Genomic DNA, 27,056 nt, shown 5'->3' on the forward strand with positions numbered 1-27,056 from the left:
TGATTCAGAGAACAGGAGTATAAGAAGGAAATTGAATAAGTGAATGAATGAAAATTACATTAATGAAGAAATTATATAAAAATCAGTTCTTTAGACAAAGTTTCCTTAATTCTTTAAACAGATTAAAAATTGCTGATTTATTTTTTTTTCCTAGTAAGTCCAACACCTGGGCTTCCTTAGAGATGATTTTTACTGATTTTTTTTCTATGTGTGGGCCATACTTTCTTGTTTCTTTGTATGTTTTTTCCTTTTTCTTGAAGATAGGAAATTATAGATAATATAATGTAACAATGCTGGAGATCAGAGTCCTGGGCCTCTGCTGTTTTGTTGTTGCTGTGTGTTGTTGTTGTTGCTTAATTGGTGACTTTTCTGAAGTTAATTCTGTTAAGTCTACAGACTTTGTTGTGTGTGACTGCTGGAGTCCCAGATGTTTAGCTTAGCGGTCATCTAATCATTGGATATAAATTGTTTTCAAATGCCTGAAACCAACGTCTCCTAACCTTTGCTTAAGGATTCTGTGCACGTGTTGGGACTTAACCCTAACTACTAAGCCACACAGTTGACAACACTGTCTTAACCTTCATTTTCTGCTTGCACAGAACCTCAGAATCAGCCAAAATTGAGGTGCCCAGACCTTCTCAGGTCTTTCCTGAGAATTCACACCACCCTATCATACACATAACCCTACCCCTGCATATGACCTTCTAGATTTTTTAGAGATTTTCCTTTCCTATGGACATTTTCTTCCCCAACTTTTAAGCTTCTGGTTAGCCTGTTTTTTTCCCCTGTTATTCACCTTTTCAGTGAATGTGAAGTTACAGAATTGCCTCCAAACAATTTAACAAATGTCCCCAAGAAAAAGACTTTTCACACTGGGCAAGCTCCATGTCAGGACAAAAAACAAACAAACAAAAAAACATGCACAGCTCAGTAAGTGGAGGCCTCCAGAGAACCACCAGACAGTTCCAACACTGACAATTCTCCGAGAATGAGGTTGTGAAGGAGTTCTAGCTCTGTTCTGGTCCCTCCAGTAGCTGCCAAGTGGCTAGTTTTTACTGTGATTGTGGGCTATTGGTTTTCAAAGATGAAATTAAGAGAAGATGGACATAGGGCAAGTTAAAACACCACAAATCTCCCTGCTTTTACTGAGATTCAGCCATTTTGTTGAATAAATACTCCCAGAAACCTTTGGTTAATTTGTAGAATTCAGAGAAACTTGATTCTGATAAATTATCCAGTTTTCTCATTGTTTAATAACGGGATGAGTTTTTGGAGATTCTCCTCTGCCATTTTCACTGATATCATACCGAGATGTAAGTATTAAAAGACTGAGCTTTGGATTAATTATTAAAGAGAAAAATTGTTGTGTATATTTTAAAGACTATTCATTTACACATGAAGCAGTCTACATCCAAAGGAAAAGGATAGAAACAAGTAGTAGGGCAACAGTGGCATGAAAAAGACAACTTTGCATGTAATTTCCTTGTTCAGGTGAGAAATAATGGCGGCTGGGTCTAGGATGTTGGTGGTAGTACGCAACAGAAGTGGAACCATTTGAAAAATATTTGGAATCAAAAATTATGAAATCTTACATTGAACGTTAGAGAGTGTGCAGAATTTTGGTCCCCATAACCTCAACCCTTGGTGCTACTCTGGTGGATATGTTACTTTACCTGGCAAAAGGGATTTACAGATGTAATTAAGATGGTTTTGTTACATAACTGCTGAAGCAGCAGGCCTGGTTGATACTTTGATTTTAGTTCGATGACACCTTGAGCAATAAACCCAGCCCTCGGCCTAGCTCCTGCCGGCCTTCGGGTTTGCAGTGGTGCTGTTGTCCCGGGCAAGGCTAGCGGCAGCACGGCCATCCCCAAGCTTTTTCCCACGCTCCTGCAACCACAGCAGAGAGAAGGGATGCCATTCGAGGTGCTCAGTAACCTCACCAAGCGGCCCTAATGCTTCCACTCCGAGTTTCTGAGGAATCTGAAGGCACTTCACCTTGAGGCTTGGCTGGTGGAAGCGATCTTCGGAAGCCGAGTGTACGTCACATGTCCTGCTTCGAGTGAATCGGTGGGACCCAGAAAGCGAGGCTGAGATCTTGATATTTGGGAGGCCTTATTGCCAGAAGGACACATTCAAGATGATCATGAATACTTGATTGACTATCACGACCAGCTCCAGGTGCAAGCCTCGGAAAAGGCCCTCGCCCAGGATGTCGACACTCAGAAGGCTGAGACCCACCACTTTCCCAAAGCTGGCCAGGAGGCCAGGACCCAGCCATCTCTGGAGGCTGCTGGGGAGATCGGGACTCAGTGGTCTTCAATCGCAGTCCGGGAGGCTGGGACCCAGCAGCCTCTGGTCGAGGTCAGGGAGGCCAGGACCCAGCAGTCTCTCGAGGCTGCCAGCGAGTGGGGGACCCAATGTTCTCCCGAAGCTGCCAGCAAGGCAGGGAGTCAGTGATTTCGCTTGGCCGGTGGTGAGGCTGCCAAGGACCAGTTTACCAAATTACGAAGGCATCTCAGGCCCTGGAGCAGAGCCAGTCAGGGGTTGAAGTGGAAGCCCTTGGAAGAGCCAGATTCTTCTACGGTGTGTATGGTGTGGATTGTTTTTGTTTTCCCCTTCTGCTAAATGTTTGCAAATACAAACTTAAAGTTCTAATAAATAATTGTATTTCCAAAAAAAAAAAAAAAAATCCAGCCACATAGTAACAGACTTCTATCTAAAGAACTGTAAGATAATAGTGTTACTTCAAGCCAGTAAGTTTGTGGTAACAGCGTTATGGTTGCAATAGAAAACTGATACAGATGGTAAAGGAGAGAGAGAAAGCAAGGATGCAGTCTTGCTTGTGGCACTTCCTGTTGAATGGAAACGGGTCCAATTTTTTGAGATAGAAACCCCAGAGGAGGAATAGGCTCAGGTGTAGCAACAGAGAGGCCAACATCAATGTTGCACATGTTCAGTTTGGGGTACTTTTGGAAGTTCAAGTAAAAACAAAAGTTAATAGTTTATTGCCTGTAGAGATCTGGAGTTCAGAGAATAAATAAGGCTAAAAATATAAGTCCATTAGCATGTAGTTGTTAACTGAAGTCGAGTAAATGGATTAAATTGCCTAGGGATGGAGAGTAAAATGAGAAGAGACAAATGATCGTCTGAAGCTGTGTTGTCTCAGATTGTAACCAAAATGTGGGTTAGTTGCTTGCTGCATGTGGAATCCAGTTAACAAGAGCAAAGTCCAATACAAAGCAAGTGAATTTATTACAAAACCAGCTTGGGAAAGAGGCACAGTTGTCCTGCCCCACCACTTCACTTTTTGAGCAGAAAGCAGGCACTTTTAAGGGAGTAAATGAGCAAGAGCAGGGGACCCCCTGCTAGGTTGGTGCCTTATCTATGGGCAGATGAGTTGGTGCCTCCCTGGGCAGAAGTAAGTAGTAAAAATGGCCAAGTGGGCATATTTTCCACATGCCCTCCTGAGGCAACACCCTGGAGGTGAGAGTTTCTTGGAGGCATGCTTTGGTCTGCAAATCGACTGTCTACTCTCAAGGAGAGATTCATCTTGCCCTGTAGGAAATGTTTGGTGAGGGGGAGGTGAAAGGTTGTATTTTCATTTCTAAAGGACTAAGTAGGAAGTGGGAAACCGGGGAAACAAGAAGAGAGAGGGGAATAAATTAAACTACCTCTTAGAAAAATGAAGGTAATCAGTTACAAGACTGCTGGGTACAGGCTAAAACAGGATTCCTTCAACTAAACCTATATACTTGCTTTGTGTTTTCCAATCCACTTTAATAAAGTTTGTCTTTCTTAAAGCAATTCAAGGGGCAAGAGGAGCCAACATATCCCAACATTTTCTCATATCCCGACATTTTCCTAGAATGTCTCTTAAAAAGTTTCTAACAGTTTAAACAGCAGCTTCACTAACCAAGATCAATACCTGCTAATTTACCAGAATAGAATGATGAAACTCACAGTCTCCCACCTTCCTTTAGCTCAACCAATTCCACATTTTATAATAAGCTTTGAAATATCCTGCTTCTAAGTATTTAATGTTTGAATTTTTCAGGAGTTCTCCATTTGAAAGATATAGAAACTTACTAGCTTAGTCAAAAATGGAAAATATATTGAATGGATTCACTCAATAAACAAATATTTATTATTTTTTAGTAATTAAATATCATAGACACTGTGCTAAGTGTCATATATTCAGAAGTAAACAATAAGTCTGTGGTTCTCTGCACTTTTAGCAAAAATCTAGTGGGGATATGAAGACACCAGGGTAACTTATGCAACAGAAGGAGGAGTTGAATAATCAGGCTGGAAAAGGGCAAGAATGCAACTGAGCTTTAGGAACAGCTGAGGCCCCAATAACAAATCACTCCAGAAATAACGACTGCTAAGTGCCTTTATTGTATGTGTCCTGTTTATATTCATAGTCTTATGTCATTTTTACAACAGATATATAATTTAAATAGTACTGGCTCCATCTTCCAGATAAGAAAAACTAATGCTCAGAAACATTAACAAATTATCTAAGGTAATCTAGGTAATAAAATCAAATGCTAAAATTTAAATGCCAGTGTGAAAACCTCAATATTCACACTCTTTTTGTTATATCATTTTGCTTCCAAATCAAAATCCAGGAAAATGAGGAAATGACATTTATGTCTAATTTTCTTTTAAAAAAATACAAAATATGTGACAACTTTCTAATTCATTCATGCCAGTGGTTTGTAATTCTGTGACTTCTACTTTTCTGTTTTTGACAATTTCTCTCCCCAACTGACTCCACAGCTTTGAATACATCCGACATTTATGTAATTCATCCGATAGCATAAGAAGAATACATGTTCCAACTAAAGTAGGATATCGGAACTGAAGTAATCAGTGTTGCTTCACTTTATCAATACAATTAATGAAGGTAGCCACATTTTTAGGTCTGAAAGCATCAAGAAAATACAAGAAATGTTAATAGATTTTTAAAGGGTAAATTAAAAGTAGAGTATCATATTTAGAGTTAGCATACTACAATGCTGATACAAGTTAAATAAGTGTTATTAGACATGAATACATTAAAATAAGTTCAACCTGACAGATTTTGAACTGTTTTGATAGCAACCCACTTACTGGTATTTCTGAAAACAAAGCCATTTGAAATGGCTCAGCAGTCACAAGTATAAACCACGATGTCTGAATGCTGTTATCAAATACTTCCATGAAGTGAAGAGTGTCCCCTAAAACTATTACTTTGGAGAAAAATTCCTGGTAGACACATAGCTCAGTAATAAAATTTTAAAAAATTGAAAACAGATCAATTTATAAATACAAAAATGTTAGTGCCCATGTTGATCTATGTCTTTCATTTTCTTCTGACAGCAGTGCCAAGCACTGAAATCCCACAATCCGTCATGAATAATGCATAAGCAACACAGAGATTCATTTAGGGATCTTAAAAATCCCTGGCTGCAGGTTGACATTTCATCTGTTATATGGGGACAGAGGAACCTTTATTTTCCACTTCAGTGGCCCAATTTAACTTCTTCCTTCCTAAGACAAAGAGCACACACCCTCACTGAAACGCAGGCATGTGCCCTTGCCTGCACGTGCAGGCACAACAAACACAATTATTTCAAGCTATAAACTTCAAATCTCATTTTGTGAGCTATTAGCTATAATGTTTGATGAATCACTGGATACAGGATTTATGTAACTTCACAAGAAGTTACCCAAAGTCAATATGTCTTTCTGAATATATTGCATTTACCTAAGTTTATTCTCTTAGATGATTTGCATTGTGTTTGCTTATCTAAGCTTAACAAATAAGTCTATCAAAAATGAGACCTGAGCCTGAGAGATCCTAGGTACTGTAGGCACTAGAGAGAAAGTATCACCCATAAGACTTTGAGCCCTTTAATCTCTAAGATTCCTTCTTTTATGGAAAATAAAGTGGTCTAATTCCTTTTCATCCCACCTACTCAGGGAAGTTTATTATTGCCCCAGTTATTTCTGAAATTCTTGGAAGGAGGTGCTTAAGTTCCTTTTGTGACCCTTTATGTTCAGTTTTAAATTTCAATTATTACTGAATGCTTTGTTCTTTCATTGTGATCTCACCCTTTGTAGCTTTTTTTTTCTTTCTATCCCAGAGTGAACCTCATACTTCATTCCTTCTCTTACATCTTCATTAGAATTCTTTTTGGGTAACCAACTTTTCCTGGAGGTTTTGACATAAAGAAGAGAAGCTTTAGCAAAGTACATGAAACAACACAATTTTAAATTGATCGCTAGGTATCAGTGTCATTAATGACATTAGACATCACCACCACAGAAAACTTCCTGCCAGCTGCCCTTTCTCTATGCCTCTGTTTGTTTCTTTAATTTTTGTGTTTTCATCTTCCCTAACCAGAACTTTCTCCCCATCACATCCTCCTCCCATATGGCCTCCCTTCCTTCCCTTCATATGTTCCAGCAAAAAGCTCAAAAATCAAAATTTCTATTATTTTATTAAACTATTAAGTAGAAGAAATTAGTTATCTCAATTTCCTTGTCTTTCCTACCAAAAGGGTCATTAAACAAAGGGTCTTCCTAAAATCAGTAAGAGGCTCTTGCAGTCCCTTCAGCCTGTATTAACAGCTTTAGGGACAGCCAGCCCTTTCTGAATTATTCTCAGGATCACCCAAACATAACATTTTTTCTTTTTTTTCTTTAAGAAATTGCCTTATTTTTCTTTAGCAGAAGGACAGCAAATTCCTCAGAAGAAAATATCTTCATTCTACAAAATACATAGCAGTGATAGAGATGATGGAGTATATGAGAACAGCGTCTTTTTCTGTACTTTCTACCACTTCTTGATGGGGTGCACATGGTAAGGATGACACTCCAATCTGTTCGAAGTAGCACCTTTCAGGGCTAGAACAGAAAGCTGATATCCTGTTAGATATCTACTGTTAGATCCTACCTCGTAGTCCTAGGTTATGTGAAATTACACTCCAGGAAAGGGTCCCGCACAGGGTTTTTGCAGAGCAGCTGAAGCATGGTTTTTACCTGAGTAAAAAGGCAGAGACACCAAGTGTCAGAGGCATTTTAATCAGAACGACCCCATCTTAAGAGTGGGCTAGGAAAAATAGGGCAGGCACTTGCTGGACCTCATTCCCAGGAAATTAGATACTTCTAGCCTCTAAATGTTTACAATTAAGGGAAAAGATTGATAACGTTTACTAAACAGACCCAGAATCAGTAATGTCCTGATACCCCGATATCTTGAGTCTTAAGAACAGAAGCACTCTTAATTTTTGTTTTAAAGGTAATAATATTGATTCTTGCAAAATATAGTAATTAAGAAAGTTAATCCTTTATCACAAACCCTTGTAGCAGAGCACATCTCCCCATGATTTTGTTGTTGTCCTTGTTATCCTATGTATAAGCAAACATTGTATCTGGGGAGGGCGCATACCTCCTCTTACTTTCGGCAACGCCCTACTCTTCTATGGACTAGCTCTTCTTTCGCCAGTTTACTTTCTTAACACACTTGCTTTCACTTACACTGTGGACTCGGCCCGAATCTGTCTTGTGCGACATCCAAAAACCCTCTCTTGGAGTCTGGATCGGGACCACTTTCTGGTAACATGAGTACATGACTGCACCTCACCATTCTTTTAACAAATGTTTGGGCCTTTGAAATAGCTAGGACTGGGTTTCCTCCTTAGTGCCTTTGATTATTCTTCTTTATTTGCGCAGTTCATTATTACTTTTCTATCAATTTACAATCTATTTTCATTGTTCTCTTGCAGTTGCTAACATGAAAAGCAAAGTATATGGGACTTAATCCATTGTAACTTTAAAAGTTCAGGTTATTTTGGTTACTATTACATTGGACATTTTCAATTTTTAAAATTTGGCATAGGTTCTAGTTGAACCCTTCATTTCACAGAATAGGAAATTAAAACCTAAAGAGATTAAACAAGACTTAATCTCATCTAGAAATTCTCAGTTAGATTTTGGCAAAACAGGAGGCCAGGTCTCTGGCTTCGCTGGCAAGGGCTTTTTACAATATGCCGTCTTGCCCTCTCTTCCTGTGGAGCATTTGGTTCATCCCACTAAGTAACAATTATCTTTTATGCTGTATTGCTTGTTATTATTTTATTATTATTATTGTCTAAACTGCTTAATTATAAATCCCTTGAAGGTAAAGATTATGCTTGATTCTAAAATATCTCTAGAAGCTAGTATATTTATAGTGCTGAGCACAATTTTTGGCAATTAACATTTCCTGGGGCAATTTTATTATACCCACTTTTTTTCCAAGCACTTTTGCAAGTCTTTTTTTTTTTTTCTTTAATTGAGTGACTGATATGAAAACTAAGATCAAATTATTTTCAGGAATAAATCATAAGGTTTTTTTTTCTGTCTTCCATTAATGGCAATGTAAGAAAATATTGCGAGGTCCAATGAAATCTTAAGGGAGGAACTATAATCTTTCCTCTACTAATGTTTCCATATGGAGGGAACTCCATTAAGGTGACACTCTGGCCTCTTTATCCTGGTACTTTTCCCTCAAAACTCACATTTCCCTGGAGAAAGATAGGGGAATGTTTGACACAAGTCAGGCCTGCTGTTTCCACAATTCCATGGGAGTACCATACATACCATAGTCTATTGGGTGGCTCTTCTCTCTAGTGGATCTGATTGTCTGCATAAATATTTATAGGATAAATTTAATTGTAGAGAGCAACATTAGCAAAACAATTTACTTGCATCCAAATCCAGGCTACATTCTCCAAACAGCTTTCTCAGTAATGAAGCTGATAGTTTTTGTTTTGGTTTTTTTAACTTTTGTGTCATTTGGTTATAAATGTAGGTACTAAGAAAAAGGTGCTGTTATTTATTTGGTAACCCCCCCTTAAATGTCAACAACAGTGCCTCTTTTTATAAATTGCTTTAATAACCTCATAAGAGGAAAGCACATATTTCTTACTACAAACTGTCAGAATGTATCAAAAAGTAATTGTGGATGCCCACGATTGGGGGAAGAGAAACAGAGTAGTTAACTGTCTTCTATCTCATTTCCTCCTAGAGCCAGAGGCAGCAACTTTAACTCTTGTATTTCTAGCTTTTCTGTATTTCTGACATTACTAGGACCATTGCACAAAACATTGTGGTGACTGATTTTATCCAAGTTAACATTCTGACAATGCTGAATGCTGCAGCTTTTTCACACACATTCTTTAAGCAGAAAGTCATTTTAAAAGTGTCATCTACTTGGGACAGTGCTGAGCTAATGTGATACGGCGTGACAAGCTTCACCAAGTTTGACACCTTCTACTTATTGCATTGGAAAATCATTAGATTAATTAATTAGTAGACATAATTAATTAGAAACACTTGATAATGAATTAATTGGTGTACTTTTGGTAAGAATAGAATGAGTATGAGGTATCTTCTAAGAGAAATACAAAAATAAACTATAATGTTAAATAAGTTAGTCAAAATAACATTACTGATATTATCAGGTAACTTCTCAGTTGCCATCTCAGTGAAGCCTTTCCTCACCATGCTTTCTAAAATTTCAACTTGATACTCTGACATTTTACATTTTTTCCTCTGCTTTTTTTTTTTGATAGTTACCACTGATTCATATACTCTATATTCTATTATTATTATTTGTCTCCCCCCAAATATACGCTCCATGAGGAGAGGAATCTTTTGTTGATTGCTGTATCTCCAGCCCCTAGAACAATGCCCACCATGGAGTTGTCTCTCAGTAAGTACTTGGTAAATGAATGAATGGGTACATGAATGTTAAACTTCTGAAAATGCATTTAATTTTTCTTCCTTGCACTGAAGAAAATTGCCTTTCTCTGTAGAGGAGAAAATTGCTTTCCTTTGTCCTAGCCTTGTCCCTGCAGAGTCTTTTAATTCCCCTCCATCATGCTTCTCTACATTCTTTCCAATAAAAACAATACAGACACTTGAAAAAACATGATATTTGGTACCTAAAGACATAGATCTGTTTTATCTCTGTCACGTATGAGCTGTTTAATCCGAATCTGTTATATCATTTGTGAAATGGGAGTACAAAAAAAAAAGTCATTCACAAAGATGTAGAAAAGATTAAATGAGCTTTGGAAACTGCTTTGTAACCCTCAAAAATCTATAGAAATATTTACAATTACAGGTCAGCTGTCATCACTACAATAGCTTTTTCTTCTTCTTTCTGCCAAGTAATATTTATCCTTCAGTCCCTTTCTCTCTCTCTCTCTTTTTAAGTTGGGTATTGAAACTATTCCATGAACTCTTTTTTGGGAAGAAACAGACTGTCAGTCATAGAGGGAGGGATAACCTCCCTTTCATCATTTTGTGACTGTGACCACTTAATGACCTATGACAACCAGACTTGAGTCAATGATCCAATAGAGAAGATCATCACTCATTTAAGTGTGTAACTACTAGAGACAGAAATCTCAGACAAAGCAAACAAAGCACATGCATGGTAAATGAGATCAGAAGTGGAGTAGCTACTATAATTAGAGGGTGCTAGAAAGATCTTTTCTAATTTTCTGTGGACTCTGAAATTATACAATGAGATATTGATTTCTTTGTTCTACAATATTTCTCTTCAGAAGTTTTCTATTAGAGAGCAATTGCCACCTGAGAGAAAAGCATGAAAACTAGCATCCATCTTCAATATCTCAGCATAAATTAGATCTAAGGTAGCTAGCTCTCACCTTGGAAGGCAGAGAACAAAAGCCCAATAGAATGGGACTCATATTAAGTTAATAAGTTGTAATGCTAGGAAAATGAAATGTCCAGAATAATTCTTCAGAAGAATATATTAACCTAGAGCAAGGTCCAGCAAACTTTTCCTGGAAAGGATCAGATAGTAAATATTTCAGGCTTCCAGTCTCTATTGCAACTACATATTTCTCACATTGTAATGCAAAAAGAGTCATATAATACACAAGTGAACAGGGGTGGCTGTGTTCCAATAAAGTTTTATTGGAAAATAATCTTTTTAATTTTTGATAGATTTAAAAAATCTTCTGGCCTAGAGGTAGAAGATTTTTAAAATCTATATAAAATTAAAACTATTGAATGATAATATTAAGATAAATATATATGGTATATAACTGCTAAATAAAATTTCACTGAAGAATATAACCAAAAGGTAATCTTTGTATTACATTAAAAGGCCTGCTTAAATATTGACAAGGAAAAGAATAGAAAATAGAAAAATGGAAATGTACTGAATAATTAGTTCATAATTTAGCATTATAATGTCTAATAGATGTGATGATACTCAATTCACTAGTAGTTATAGAAATTAAATCACAATATATTAATAAAATTACTTTGCATAAATTGAACTGATAAAAATTAAAAGCTCTCTGAAAGGTTAGGTCACCTACAGAGGAAAGCCCATCAGACTAACAGCAGACCTCCCAGCTGAAACCCTACAAGCCAGGAGAGATTGAGGGCCAATATTCAACATTCTTAAAGAAAATAAATTCCAATGAAGAATTTTTATACGCAGCCAAATTAAGCATCATAAGCAAATGAGGAATAAAATCTAAAGAGCTTCTACAGAGTAAAAGAAACTATCAGCTGAGTAAACAGACAACCTACAGAATGTGAGAAAATTTTTGCAAACTGTGCATTCAAAAAAGGTCTAATATTTAGCATCTATAAGGAACTTAAATACATTTACAAGAAAAAAAACAAACAACCCCATAAAAAATGTGGGAAAGGACATGAACAGATATTTTTCAGAAGAGCACATGCATGTGGACAGCAATTATATGAAAAAAAGCTCAACATCACTGATCATTAGAGAAATGCAAATCAAAACCACAATGAGATACCATCTAATACCAGTCAGAATGGCTATTATTAAAGAGTCAAAAAATAGCAGATGCTGGGGACGTTGTGGAGAAAAAAAAGGAATGCTTATACACTGTTGGTAGGAGAGTAAATTAGTTCAGCCATTGTGGAAGGCAGTGTGCCAATTCCTCAAAGACCTAAAGTCAGAAATACCACTGGACCCAGCAATCTCATTACTGGATATTTACCCAAAGGAATATAAATCATTCTATTGGCCGGGTGTGGTGGCTCACGCCTGTAATCCCAACACTTTGGGAGTCCGAGATGGGTGGATCACCTGAGGTCAGGAGTTCGAGACCAGCCTGGTTAATATGGTAAAACCGCGCCTTTACTAAAAATACAAAAATTAGCCAGGCGTGGTGGTGCATGCCTATAATCCCAGCTACTCAGGACGCTGAGGCAGGAGAATGGCTCAAACCCGGGAGGCGGAGGTTGCAGTGAGCCAAGATCGCACCATTGCACTCCAGCCTGGGTGACAGAGCAAGACTCTGTCTCAAATATAAAAAATAATTCTATTATAATGACACTTGCACACACATGTTCATTGCAGCACTATTCACAATAGCAAAGACATGAAATCAACCTAAATGCCTATCAATGATAGATTGGGTAAAAAATTATGGTATATATACACCATGGAATACTATGCAGCCATTAAAAAGGACAAAATTATGTTCTTTGCAGGGGCATGGATGGAGCTGGAGTCCATTATCCTTAGCAAACTAACACAGGGACATAAAACTGAATACCACATGTTCTCACTTCTAAGTGGGAGCTAAATTATGTGAGCATATGGACACATAGAGGGGTACAAGACATGCTGCGGCTTTTCAGAGGACAGAGAGTAGCAGGAGGGAGAGAATCAAGAAAAATAACTAATGGGTACTAGGCTTAATACCTGGGTGATGAAATAATCTGTTCAACAAACCCCCATGACATAAGTTTACCTATGTAACAAACCAGTACTTGTATCCCTGAACTCAAAATAAAAGTTTAAAAAACAAAAAGCTATCTAACATCTACTGCTGTTTGGAAATGTCAGCAGAAGGATATTCTCATGTATAGCTCTGGAAATATAACTTGTTGCTGACTTTTTGGAATGGAATCTGGTATTGTCACTTCAAATTAAATATGCCTATATTATTGAACCTAATTCCAGGATTTGGGAATAATGCCCAATCCTGAAATCTAACTCCAAGATACAAAACTATAAAAACTGCAAAACCTTTTAGTAAAGTTATGTGTGTATGCGTGTATCTCAGTAGATGATCAGAAGAGCATGGAAAAATATATTGAGGAAGTATCATAAATGGTTAACATGGGTTACCTGCCTGGAGTGGTTTGATGGGGCAACTGAAGAAGGTGAAGGGATCAAGTAGAGAAGAAGGAGAGAGTCAACCAAAAAGTGAAAAGGAAAAAGTCTTAAAAAAAAAAAAAAGCATTGTTTGTGTATAATATATTTACATTTATGTACAATTTTATGGCTTGTATATTAATAAAGATTTTAAGAATTATATTTTTTAAAGAAGAGAAAAGATATTATGGTCTCTAGTCTAAACTCCTGAGAAAACTTAAGGAAAACAAGTTTGCCAGTGCCTTTTTACTAATTCCCTTGAGATCTTTCATTTGCAGGCAAAAAGATTGGCCTTTCAGTTCAGCCTGGGCTTGAAATATCAAACACATTGCCATATCAAACACATTTCTGTGCCAGGTAGGTAACATAATTTCTTTCTTAAATTGCTTTTTTTTTTTTTTGGTAAAGCATACTCTGTTTTTAGATTAAGTATATAAAAATAGTCTTAACTCTACAACAATAAAAAATTTCTGTCTCCCTTTTGTTTCAGGACCAGTCACACTACTACCACCCCGCCCCCAACAAACACACACACAGATACACACTTCTATATATATATATACTATATATAAATATATATATATTTACTCTCTATTTCCAAGTTATATTGGAATAGTCTCATGCCTAAATCAATAGGAGAAATGCTGGGTCATAGGTAGGATTCAGCCCACAATGGTATCTGATTGGCCTATTCTATATTTTACTATATATAAATTCTATATATACTAAATATAAATATATATATTTATATTTATATATATATAAATATATATATATATATTTATATATATATAGAGAGAGAGAGAGAGAGAGCAAGTAGCAACTGATACTTAATTATTACATATTCCATAGCATGGTGAACTGTAGCAAACCGGAAAATACAATTATCATTCAAAGTATGTAGCCCCTATTCAAATCCAGTAAATTGTTGACCCACAGGATATTAGTATATTGTCTTCAGGCTTAACTTTTCAAGAAAAGGTAGAAATCCAGATTTTTATGTACAATCTTCCCATTTAAAACATAGAATAGGGCCAGGTGCAGTGGCTTACACCTATAATTGCAGCACTTTGGAAGGCCGAGGCGGATGGATCGCTTGAGGTCAGGAGTTCAAGACCAGCCTGGCTGACATGGAGAAACCTCATCTCTACTAAAAATACAAAAATTACCCAGCTGTGGTGGCACACACCTGTAGTCCCAGCTGCCCAGGAGGCTAAGGCATGAGAATCACTTGAACCTGGGAGGTGGCGGTTGCAGTGAGCCAAGACTGTGCCATTGCACTCCAGCCTGGGTGACGGAGTGAGACTCTGTCTCTAAATTAATTAATTAATTAATTAAAATATAGAATAGGCCAATCAGATACCATTGTGGGCTGAATCCTACCCATGACCCAGCATTTCTCCTATTGATTTAGGCATGAGACTATTCCAATATAACTTGGAAATAGAGAGAGATTCTCCAAAGTTTACTGTAGCTGGTGAATTACTTTTTAGAAATCTCCAAGTTTGTTAATATTGCATATGTAAACTTGAGTGGTAGATTACATTTAAACTAAATAACTTACCCTGTATAAAACACTGTTCTAGTTTGGATCTTTGGTTTAAAGTGGAGACTTACACTACATTAAAGGGGCCTATCAAAAGTTGCCTATAAACTAGAACTAGAGTCACAAAGGCCAACTTCATGAGTTATTTTAATGATGTTATCTCTCTCTCTTTCTCTTCCACACATTATTATTCCTCGAAGATACTGCTTCAACAAGTGTGTCTGTTTTCTTTCTTTCTGTACACTATCTTCTAATGCTAACTCATAATTTTCCTCATAACTTGGGCTGTACACAAACTTTATAGATTTCTTCATACAATATGGTCAACTTCTGTCCCTTCTAACTGATTCAATTTTTTTGGAATTCCTTGTGCAAATTATCTCAAGAGGTAACTTGATACATTCAGATTATCTTTCTATGACTCTTCATACAACATATTTCATAGGCTAATCTATAAGCAGTTTGTCACTGTATCAAGTCATCATATGACTGTTCTTGGGCCAATTGCCTTATAGGTAAAGAAAGAGCACACATAAAACATGTGCCTGGATAGTAAAAATTATAGTAGGAAAATTGTTTAAAGCAATATTTGGGCACATGTGTTAATACAAAAAATCTTCCTAGATTTACAGGGGTCACCATTCTTAAGAATTTAGAAGTTTTGTTAGACTCTTGGTTGATGTCCTGGAAAAATCAATTGGTACTTATTTGAGCATACATTATTTATGAAGTCTTTTTCTTTAGAGACTGTAGTTACAGAATCCCCTGGGCTCTCACCTAAGGAATGTATCATATTGAATCCTCTTGCAAGAAGAATTATTTGTAAAAGGGTGTGAAGGCTATGATAAATCAAGTGAGAGCACAGGAGATTCTTCAGCTACAATCTCTGAAGAATGACTATAGTTGAATCTAGGGCTACAAAAGGGGTTTGGTTAAATAAGAGTTTAGCTATATCCAACAGCAATGTCTGTCTTGGAATATGAGATCTCTAGGCATGTTTTAGTCTTTCACATGCACTTTTTTTAAAGCTTATTCTTTTTTATTATTATTATACTTTAAGTTCTGGGATACATGTGCAGAACGTGCAGGTTTGTTACATAGGTATACATGTGCTGTGGTGGTTTGCTGCATCCATCAACCCATCATCTACATTAGGTATTTCTCCTAATGCTATCTCTCCCCTTGCCGCCCACCCCTCCCTGTGCCATACATTCCCATTGTCCAACTCCCAATTATGAGTTAGAACCATGCGGTGTTTGGTTTTCTCTTCCTGTGTTAGTTTGCTGAGAATGATGGTTTCCAGCTTCATCCATGTCCCTGCAAAGGAAATGAACTCATCCTTTTTTATGGCTGCATAGTATTCCATGGTGTATATGTGCCACATTTTCTTTATCCAGTCTAACCCTGATGAGAATTTGGGTTGGTTCCAAGTCTTTGCTATTGTGAATAGTACTGCAATAAACATACCTGTGCATGTGTCTTTATAGTAGAATGATTTATAATCATTTGGGTATATACCCAGTAATGGGATTGCTGTGTCAAATTGTATTTCTGATCCTAGAGCCATGAGGAATCGCCACACTGTCTTCCACAATGGTTAAATTAATTTACACTCCCACCAACAGTGTAAAAGCGTTCCTATTTATCCAAATCCTCTCCAGCATCTGTTGTTTGCTGACTTTTTAATGATAGCCATTCTAATTGGGGTAAGATGGTATCTCATTGTGGTTTTGATTTGCATTCCTCTAATGACCAGTGATGATGAACTTTTTTTCATATATGTTTGTTGGCAGCATAAATGTCTTCTTTTGAAAAGTGTCTATTCATATCATTCACCCACTTTTTGATGGGGTTGTTTGTTTTTTTCTTCTAAATTTGTTTAACTTCCTTGTAGATTCTGGATATTAGCCCTTTGTCAGATGGATAGATGACAAAAATTTTCTACCATTCTGTAGTTTGCCTGCTCACTCTGCTGATAGTTTCTTTTGCTGTGCAGAAGCTCCTTAGTTTAATTAGATCCCTTTTGCCAATTTTGGCTTCTGTTGCCTTTACTTTTGGTGTTTTAGTCAAGAAGTCTTTGCCCATGCCTATGTACTGAATGGTATTACCTAGGTTTTCTTCTAGGGTTTTTATGGTTTTAGGTCTTATGTTTAAATCTTTAATCCACTTTGAGTTAATAGTTTTATAAAGTGTAAGGAAAAGATCCAGTTTCAGTTTTCTGCATATGGCTAGCCAGTTTTCCCAGCACCATTTATTAAATTGGGGATCCTTTCCCCATGGCTTGTATTTGTCATGTTTGTCATGTTTGTCAAAGATCCGATGGTTGTAGATGTGTGGTGTTATTTCTGAGGCCTCTGTTCTGTTCCATTGGTCTATATCTCTATTTTGGTACCAGTACCATGCTGTTTTAATTACTGTAGCCTTGTAGTATAGTTTGAAGTCAGGTAGCATGATGCCTCCAGCTTTGTTCTTTTTACTTAGGATTTTCGTGGCTATATGGGTTCATTTTTGGTTCCATATGAAATTTAAAGTAGTTTGTTTTCTAAGTCTGTGAAGAAGGTCAATGGTAGCTTGATGGGAATAGCATTGAATGTATATATTACTTTAGGCAGTATGGCCATTTTTACAATATTGATTCTTCCTATCCATGAGCATGGAATGTTTTTCCATTTGTTTGTATCCTGTCTTATTTCGTTGAGCAGTGGTTTGTAGTTCTCCTTGAAGAGGTCTTCACATCCCTTGTGAGTTGTATTCATAGGTATTTTATTCTCTTTGTAGCAATTGTGAATGGGAGGTTGCTCATGATTTGGCTCTCTCTTTGTCTATTATTGGTGTATAGGAATGCTTGTGATTTTTTCACACTGATATTGTATTCTGAGACTTTGCTGAAGTTACTTCTCAACTTAAGGAGTTTTTAGGCTGAGACGATAGGGTTTTCTAAATATACAGTCATGTCGTCTGCAAACAGAGATAATTTGACTTCCTCTCTTCCTATTTGAATACCTTTATGTTTTTCTCTTGCCTGATTGCCCTGGCCAGAACTTCCAATACTATGTTGAATAGGAGTGGTGAGAAAGGGCAACTTGTCTTGTGCTGGTTTTCAAAGGGAATGCATCCAACTTTTGCCCATTCAGTATGACATTGGCTTTGGGTTTCTCATCAATAGCTCTTATTATTTTCAGATATGTTCCATCAATACTTAGTTTATTGAGTGTTTTTAGCATGAAGGGATGTTGAATTTTATCAAAGGCCTTTTCTGCATCTATGAGATAATCATGTGGTTTTTTTTCATTGGTTCTGGTTATGTGATGAAATATGTTTATTGATTTGCATATGTTGAACCACCCTTGCATCCCAAGGATGAAGCCAACTTGATTGTGGTGGATAAGCTTTTTAATGTGCTGCTGGATTTGATTTGCCAGTATTTTATTGAGGATTTTTGCATCAATGTTCATCAGGGATATTGGCCTGAAATTCTCTTTTTTTGTTGTGTCTCTATCACGTTTTGGTATCAGGATAATGCTGGCCTCATAAAATGAGTTAGGGAGGATTCCTCTTTTTCTATTGTTTGGATTAGTTTCAGAAGAAATGGTACCAGGTCCTCTTTTTACCTATGGTAGAATATGGCTGTGAATCCATCTGGCCCTGGGCTTTTTTTGGTTGGTAGGCTATTAATTACTGCCTCAAGTTCAAAACTTGTTATTGATCTATTCAGGGATTCGACTTCTTCCTGGTTTAGTCTTGGGAGGATGTATATGTCCAGGAATTTATCCATTTCTTCTAGATTTTCTAGTTTATTTGCATAAAGGTGGTTATTGTATTTTCTGATGGTAGTTTGTATTTCTGTGGGATCAGTGGTGATCTATCCTTTATCACTTTTTATTGTGTCTATTTGATTCTTCTCTCTTTTCTTCTTTATTAGTCTGGCTAGCAGTCTATCTATTTTGTTTATCTTTTCAAAAAACCAGCTCCTGGATTCTTTGATTTTTTGGAAGACTTTTTTGTGTCTCTATCTCCTTCAGTTCTGCTCCAATCTTAGTTATTTCTTGTCTTCTGCTAGCTTTTGAATTTTTTTGCTCTTGCTTCTCTAGTTCTTTTAACTGTGATGTTAGGGTGTCAATTTCAGATCTTTCTCACTTTCTCCTGTGGGCATTTAGTGCTATAAATTTCCCTCTACACTCTGCTTTAAATGTGTCCCAGAGATTCTGGTACATTGTGTTGTTGTTCTCATTGGTTTCAAAGAACTTATTTATTTCTGCCTTAATTTTGTTATTTACTCAGTAGTCATTCAGGAGCAGGTTGTTCAGTTTCCATGTAGTTGTGCAGTTTTGAGTGAGCTTCTTAATCCTGAGTTCTAATTTGATTGCATTGTGGTCTGAGACACTGTTTGTTATGATTTCCGTGATTCTGTATTTGCTGAGGAGTGTTTTACTTCCAATTATGTGGTCGATTTTAGAAGAAGGGCGATGTGGTGCTGAGGAGAATATATATTCTGTTGATTTGGGGTGGAGAGTCCTGTAGATGTCTATTAGGTCTGCTTGGTCCAGAGCTGAGCTCAAGTCCTGAATATCCTTGTTAATTTTCTGTCTCATTGATCTGTCTAATATTGACAGTGGGTTGTTAAAGTCTCCAATTATTATTGTGTGGGAGTCTAAGTCTCTTTGTAGGTTTCTAAGAACTTGTTTTGTGAATCTGGGTGCTCCTGTATTGGGTGCATATATATTTAAGATAGTTAACTCTTCTTGGTTGCATTGATCCATTTACCATAACCTAATGTCCTTCTTGGTCTTTTTTGATCTTTGTTGGTTCAATATCTGTTTTATCAGAGACTAGGATTGCAACCTCTGCTTTTTTATTTGCTCTCCATTTGCTTGGTAAATCTTCCTCCATCCCTTTATTTTCAGCCTATGTGTGTCTTTGCACATGAGATGGGTCTCCTGAATACAGCACACTAATGGGTCTTCACTCTTTATCCAATTTTCCAGTCTGTGCCTTTCAATTTGGGCATTTAGCCCATTTAAATTTAAGTTTAATATTGTTATATGTGAATTTGAGTCTATCATTATGATGCTAGCTGGTTATTTTGCCCATTAGTTGATGCGAATTCTTCATAGTGTTAATGGTCTTTTATTTTGGTATGTTTTTGCAGTGGTTGGTACCAGTTTTTCCTTTCCATATTTAGTGCTTCTTTCAGGAGCTCTTGTAAGGCAGGCCTGGTGGTGACAAAATCTGTCAGTATTTGCTTGTCTGTAAAGGATTTTATTTCTCCTTCACTTATGAAGCTTAGTTTGGCTGTATATGAAATTCTGCATTGAAAATTTTCTTCAAGAATGTTACATATTGGCCCCCACTCTCTTCTGGCTTGTAGGGTTTCTGCAGAGAGATCTGCTTTTAGTCTGATGGGCTTCCCTTTGTGAATAACCTGACCTTTCTCTCTGGTTGCTCTTAACATTTTTTCCTTTATTTCAACATTGGTGAATCTGACAATTATGTGTCTTGGGGTTGCTTTTCTCAAGGAGTATCTTTGTGGTGGTCTCTGTATTTCCTGAATTTAAATGTTGGCCTATCTTGCTATGTTGGGGAAGTTCTCCTGGATAATATCCCAAAATGTGTTTTCCAACTTGGTTCCATTCTCCCCATCACTTTCAGGTACACCAATTAAACATAGGTTTGGCCTTTTCACATAGTCCCATATTTCTTGGAGCCTTTGGTCATTCCTTTTCATTCTTTTTTCTCTAATCTTGTCTTCACGCTTTATTTCATTAAGTTGATCTTCAATTTCTGATATCCTTTCTTCTGCTTCATCAATTTGTCTATTGATACTTGTGTATGCTTCACAAAGTTCTTGTGCTGTGTTTTTCAGCTCCACCAGGTCATTTATGTTCTTCTCTAAACTGGTTATTCTACTCAGCAATTTCTCTAACCTTTTATCAAGGTTCTTAGCTTCTTTGCAATGGGTGAGAATATGCTCCTTTAGCTCGGGGGAATTTGTTATTACCCACCTTCTGAAGCCTACTTCTGTCAATTTGTCAAACTCATTCTCTATCCAGTTTTTTTCCCTGCTGGCGAGGAGTTGTGATCCTTTGGAGTAGAAGAGGCATTCTGGTTTTTGGAATTTTCAGCCTTTTTGTGCTGGTTTCTCCTCATCTTCATGGATTTATCTACCTTTGGTCTTTGCTGTTGGTGACCTTCAGATGGAGTTTTTGCATTGTCGTCCTTTTTGTTGATGTTGATGTTATTGCTTTCTGGTTTTTGGTTTTCCTTCTAACACTCAGAGCCCTCTGCCGCAGGTCTGCTGGAGTTTGCTGGGGGTCCACTCCAGACCCTGTTTGCCTGGGTATCACCCATGGATGCTGCTGAACAGCAAAGATTGCTGCCTGCTCCTTTCTTTGAAAGCTTCATCCCAGAGAGGCACCCACCAGATGCCAGCCAGAGCTCTCTTGTGTGAGGTGTCTGTCGACCCCTGCTGGGAGGTGATGCCCTAACAGGAGGTACAGGGGTCAGGGACCCACTTGAGGAGGCAGTCTGTCCCTTAGCAGAGCTCTAGTGCTGTGCTGGGAAATCTGCTGCTCTCTTCAGAGCTGTCAGGCAGGAACGTTTAAGACTGCTGAAGCTGCACCCACAGCCGCCTCTTCCCCTGGGTGCTCTGTCCAAGGGAGATGGGAGTTTTATCTATAAGCCCCTGAGTGGGGCTGTTGCCTTTTTTCAGAGATGCCTTGCCCTGAGAGGAGGAATCTAGAGAGGTAGTCTGGCTACAGTGGCTTTGTTGAGCTGCGGTGGGCTCTGCCCAGTCCTAACTTCCTGGCAGCTTTGTTTACACTGTGAGGGGAAAACCTCCCACTCAAGCCTCAGTAATGGCTAATGCCCCTCCCCCTACCAAGCTCAAGCTTCCCAGGTCAACATCAGGCTGCTGTGCTGGCAGCTAGAAATTCAAGCTAGTGGATCTTTCCTTGCTGGGCTCCATGGGCATGGTATCTGCTGAGCTAGACCACTTGGCTCCCAGGCTTCAGCCCCCTTTCCAGGGGAGTGAACATTTCTGTCTCACTGGGGTTTCAGGTGCCACTAGAGTAAAAAAAAAAACTCCTGCAGCTAGCTCAGTGTCTGCCCAAACTGCAGCCCAGTTTTTTGCTTGAAACTCAGGGCCCTTGTGGTATAGGCACCCAAGGGAATCTCCTGGTCTGCGGGTTGCAAAGACCACGGGAAAAGTGCAGTATCTGGGCTGGATAGCACCATCCCCTCACAGCACAGTCCCTCACGGTTTCCCTTGGCTAGGGGAGGGAGTTCCCTGACCCCTTGCACTTCCCAGGTGAGACAGTGCCCCATCCTGCTTCGGCTTGCCCTCCGAGGGCTGCACCCACTCTCTAACCAGTACAGATGAGATGAACCAGCTACCTGAGTTGGAAATGCAGAAATCACCCACCTTCTGTGTTGGTCTCGCTGGGAGCTGCAGACCGGAGCTGTTCCTATTCAGCCATCTTGCCCAGGAGGCCCCTGAAATGCACTTTTAAGAACCACTTTCAAGTTACTTGTATTAGTTTCTTAGGGCGGCTGTAACAAAGTACCATAAACTGTGTGGCTTAAAACAACAGAAATTTATTCTCTCACAGCTCTGGAAGCTAGAAATCTGAAATCAAGGTATTGGCAGGCCCATGCTCCTTCCAAAGCCTCTTGAGAAGGATCCACTCTTGCCTCTTTCAGCTTTCAGGAGCCCCAGACATTCATTTCTCAGTTTGTGAGAATATAACTACATTATTTCTCTCTGACTTCACATGTTCCTCTTCATTCTCTCTCTCTCTCTTCCTCTCTCTCTCTTTCTGAGCATGTGTGTCTGTGTGTGCAGCCCACATGTGTGTGTGTTCTCTTATAAAGACACCAGTCATATTGAATTACCTACCCTAATGGCCTCTTCTTAACTTGATTACATCTGCAAAAAAACTATTTCCAAATAAGGTCACATTCAGAGGTACCAGGGGTTAGGACTTCTACATATCATTTGGGGGGACACAGTTCAACCTATAACATCTGGAAGCAATAAACACTTATCAATTCCAATCTGCTGCATGGGTTTGGAAAATAATAATTAACACCCCTTTCATATAGGCAACCATGGCTGATTACTAGATGCACCTGGGGAGCTTTTAAACATCCCAATTCTCAAGCCTGCACCACAGAATAATTACATTAGAATCTCCAGAGATGGACTCAGATACTAATGTATCTGAAAGCTTTGTTTCCAATGTGTATTTTAGTTTGAGAACTTCTATAGTAAACCCAGAAGACAACTAAGGATAAAAAATAATCTGCGTCTTTACTGAAGAACCTAGTTTCACCCACGAGGTCAAAATAATCTTCCATTTCTTTGCGCATGAATTGAACTTAACTCCTCAGTCATAGGCAGAGCAGCTGGACAATTGCAGGCTATTCCCTGCAGGGCCAAAGCTTTGCCCAGCTGGCTTCTCACATTGGCCTGGCAGCACTCAGGTACTGTGAGGGAGAGAAGAGAAACTAAACCAGCATACCCAAGGCCTTCCGAAACTCATCAATCAGACCAATCTCCCATGAAGAATAGTGAGAGGTGGAAAAAATAATGGAAAATTACTGCTACTTCCAAGTATCAGATATTTGTTTTTCTTCTCCAAGAGAGGTAAATATAATTTCAATTTATAATTGCAAAAACACAATTAGTTGGTTGCTTTTGTTCTCACAAAATCTTGTTGACATAAATTTACTAATTTAACTCCTAATGACTTCCTATTTTTCTGTCCAAAGAAATTATCCTTTGATAATACTTCCTACATGATATAGAACATGCTATTTATTTTTACATTTTAAATATGACTATCCATCTGAGAGAGTAAAGGTTTCTTTATTCATACATGCAGCACCTATTTCTCAAGTGCCATGCTCTGAGCAAACAGACATTTTTCTAGTTCTAGTTCTAGTTCTTGTCTTAAACTCTAGATTCTATTAGAAAAGACAGAAAATAACAAGCAAATGAATAAATATTTTAGATGGTGATAAGTGCTTTAGAGAAAAATAAAGCAGAGTGGAAAATAAACTGTGCCAGTACTCGGGGATCATGTGTAGTCCTCTGGCACTCTGCACCCGGCCCATCTGTGCTATGTCCTCTAGTTGGGTTAGGATTGGAAGAAGAAAGAATACATTTCCCAGGCTCTTTTCCAGCTAGCTTACTAGGCGAGCTTTAGGTTCTATCAGTCATAAAGTGTGGAAGATTCACGGAGCTTGAGGCCATTTTCCTGCACTGGTGGCAACCAACTGGCAGACTTCAGCAGATGTAAGCATGTGTCTATTGTCTAATACCTGCTTCATGGGTATGAGGTAGTCATGGTAGCAGCCAGGGAGGTCACGGTGCCATTGGGAATTTTCTGAACTCTGCAGTGGTATGACCCAAAACCAGGGATCCAGTGGTGATCCCCTGATTTTCCTTCCTCCTAATAATTTTATAAGCTCCTAATATTTAAATTAAATTCTTATCTACTTGATATACCTACAGTTATTTCTATTTCTTGCACTGAATCAGGGAAGATGCCCAAAAAATCTTGGCCAAAAAAATCTCTCAAGCCTAGGCAACAGGGTGAGACCCCATCTCTACAAAAAAAGTGAAAATAAAAATGTATTTTTAACTAGCTGTTTGTGGTGGTATGCACCCATAGTTCCAGCTACTCAAGAAGCCTAGATGGGAGGATTGCTTAAGCCCAGGAGGTCAAGACTGCAGTGAGGTATTTTCACAGCATTGCATTGCAGCCTGGACAATAGACCCTCTCTCTCAAAAATAAAAATAAATAAATAAAAATAAAAATAAAGTCTCTTAGATGAGTTGAACTTTGAGTGGAGATACACCTGAATAAAGCCAGGGCTTTACATACAAAGGCCAGGGGCAGAGAGTTCTAGGTAGGGAGAATAAAAGCTACAAAGATGAGAGTGAGTTCAATATGTTTGCAAAACAGCAAGAACTCTAATGCAGCTGAAGAGGATGAGTAAGGTTAGCATACAATTATGGAAAGAAAAAAGGTAGGGTCACTACTAGCCTTATAATGCATTGTAAGGTGTTCAGATTTCTCAGATGATAAATTATTGAAACGTTGTAGGAGGAAGTGACACAAGCTTGCTCCAGGGTAAATAGACTATAGTGAAGCAATCATAGAAGCAGAGAAACCAGCTGGAAGGCTGTTGCCATGCTCCAAGTGAGAGAGAGTAATAATTTGCATCATGACGATTTGTTAGAAATGGGGAGAAGTGAGTGGATACTGGATATATTTTGAAGGTGGTGCCAATAGGATTTTTGATGCATTGTATAGAAGGCTCCATGGAATAATAATTAAATGAACATGAACATATAATTTATTACCCAAACCGGAACAATTTAAGAATGAAGGAGGACTCCATTAATATTTATGCTGGAGAAACAGACATAAACTGGGAATGTCCCAGGCAGACCAGATTTGTTGGTACCCTAAGTATAAGGGAAAAAATGTAAGAATGACACAAAATTTTAAAACCTTGAACCACTGGTTAAAGTAACCATCTAGAGAGAGGAAGGACTGAAAGAAAAACAAGAAGAGATGGCTTAAATCAAGAATACTACCACAGCCAGACAGCTTCATGGACGTGTGTCCTGTGCAGTTGTGCAGTGCTCAGATGGGTATCTCTAAGTGTCCTTGGAAGTCTTCTAAACCAAGACAAAGTAACAGACAATGAAGAGAGAAAGCCAGAGCTGGAGGCAAGATGTAGAGAATGAAATAAACTCACAATTACAATTATTAGACTAACTAGCAATCAGAGTGGTTTGACCAAGTTTCAGAAGGTTGAGCAAGAGATTCCCTTCTTGTCTGAACTCAGAATTAGTCTTAGATTTTGAAAGGCATCTAAGCCTACAGGTGATAGACAGTTGTCTTCATTAGTGGGACAGGCAAAAGGATTGTTTGAAAAATCAGCAGGACTTATTGCAGGTATAAAAATGAATATTGACATTGAAACATTCTCTGCTATTACACACACAAGCACACATAAGCGCACACATAAGCACACACACATACATGCTGGAGAGGAAAGGCAAAGATTTGAGAACCCTAAATATATACTAGACTCAACAGGTCACTAAAAATTTCCCACTTAATTCTATTTTGGTGAATGTAGAGATTAGCTTCAAAATTGTGATTGGAGGAACTACAAGTAATTGGATTTTTAAAAATTACCTAAGTTTATCATAATATTAGTAATTTGTATTTTTTCATCTTTTTCTTTTTCATTTTTACTATTTCTTGCTTCCTTTCACTTTTATTCATACTGTTTTTCAACTTGATGTCTTTTCTCTTTGTAAAAATGCATGTGACATTCAGTTATTGAAAAGCAAATATGATCATTAATATTAAAAAGAATATGAAAACCATAATTTCTACTTAATGATTTTACTAATTTTATAGACAGTCTGTTTTTAAATGAAGTGTCAGAATCTACATACAAATAATAAACAGAAGAAAAGAATTTATTATACCAATAATTTATGTTTAAGTAAACCCTGGTTTCTATAACTGTGATTTCAAGGTGAATTATAAAGGAAAAATATAAGTAATTTGCTGAATCATGTGTTACATCATGTAAAATAAAAAAGTCTTATTTAATTCTTCTGCCAAACATTCCCTATCTTGATATTTTTGTCATGAATTCTATAATTTCATTATAATTAATACACATTAGCTACAAATTTACAACTAGCCACATGTTCAGAAACAAGAAATGTCACATTTCATTGATTCTTCTAAATCAATTTAATGAGTTCTCACACCCTTTCCTGCCAAATAGGTAAAAAAAAAATTGTGCTCAGTATTTATTGGGATCCTACCCCTTCTCCAGTGTCTTACAGAATGAAGGCCATTCTGACTCATTAGTCTACACTGGTGAAACCTCATGGCCTCCTGAGAGTGGGAGGCTCTAATACTTCCCCATCACACTTGAGCACAAAGGATATGTGTGTGTTGCAAGGAGGATTGGCCACACATGGGAGTCAGCCTCCAAGGCTCTGCAAACTCTGTGGGTGGAAGTGGGTATTCTAAAGGGAGCAGAATTCTGGACCTTAACACCTGAATTACCACGGGCCCCTGAAAAACTACACAGCTCATAAATGAACCAAGTCACTTTGATACACAAGTCATCTTGAACAATGTCAGAACCCTTTGAAAAATGCTACTCATTTCCAAATGTTCACTCTATTGAAAGAAGACAATGTTCTAAGTATCTGAAATCAATAAGTAACTGAATTTAAAAAGAGTG

The sequence above is a fragment of the Homo sapiens genome, chromosome 4 (genome assembly GCF_000001405.40).
Source record: "Homo sapiens chromosome 4, GRCh38.p14 Primary Assembly".
NCBI lineage: Eukaryota > Metazoa > Chordata > Mammalia > Primates > Hominidae > Homo > Homo sapiens.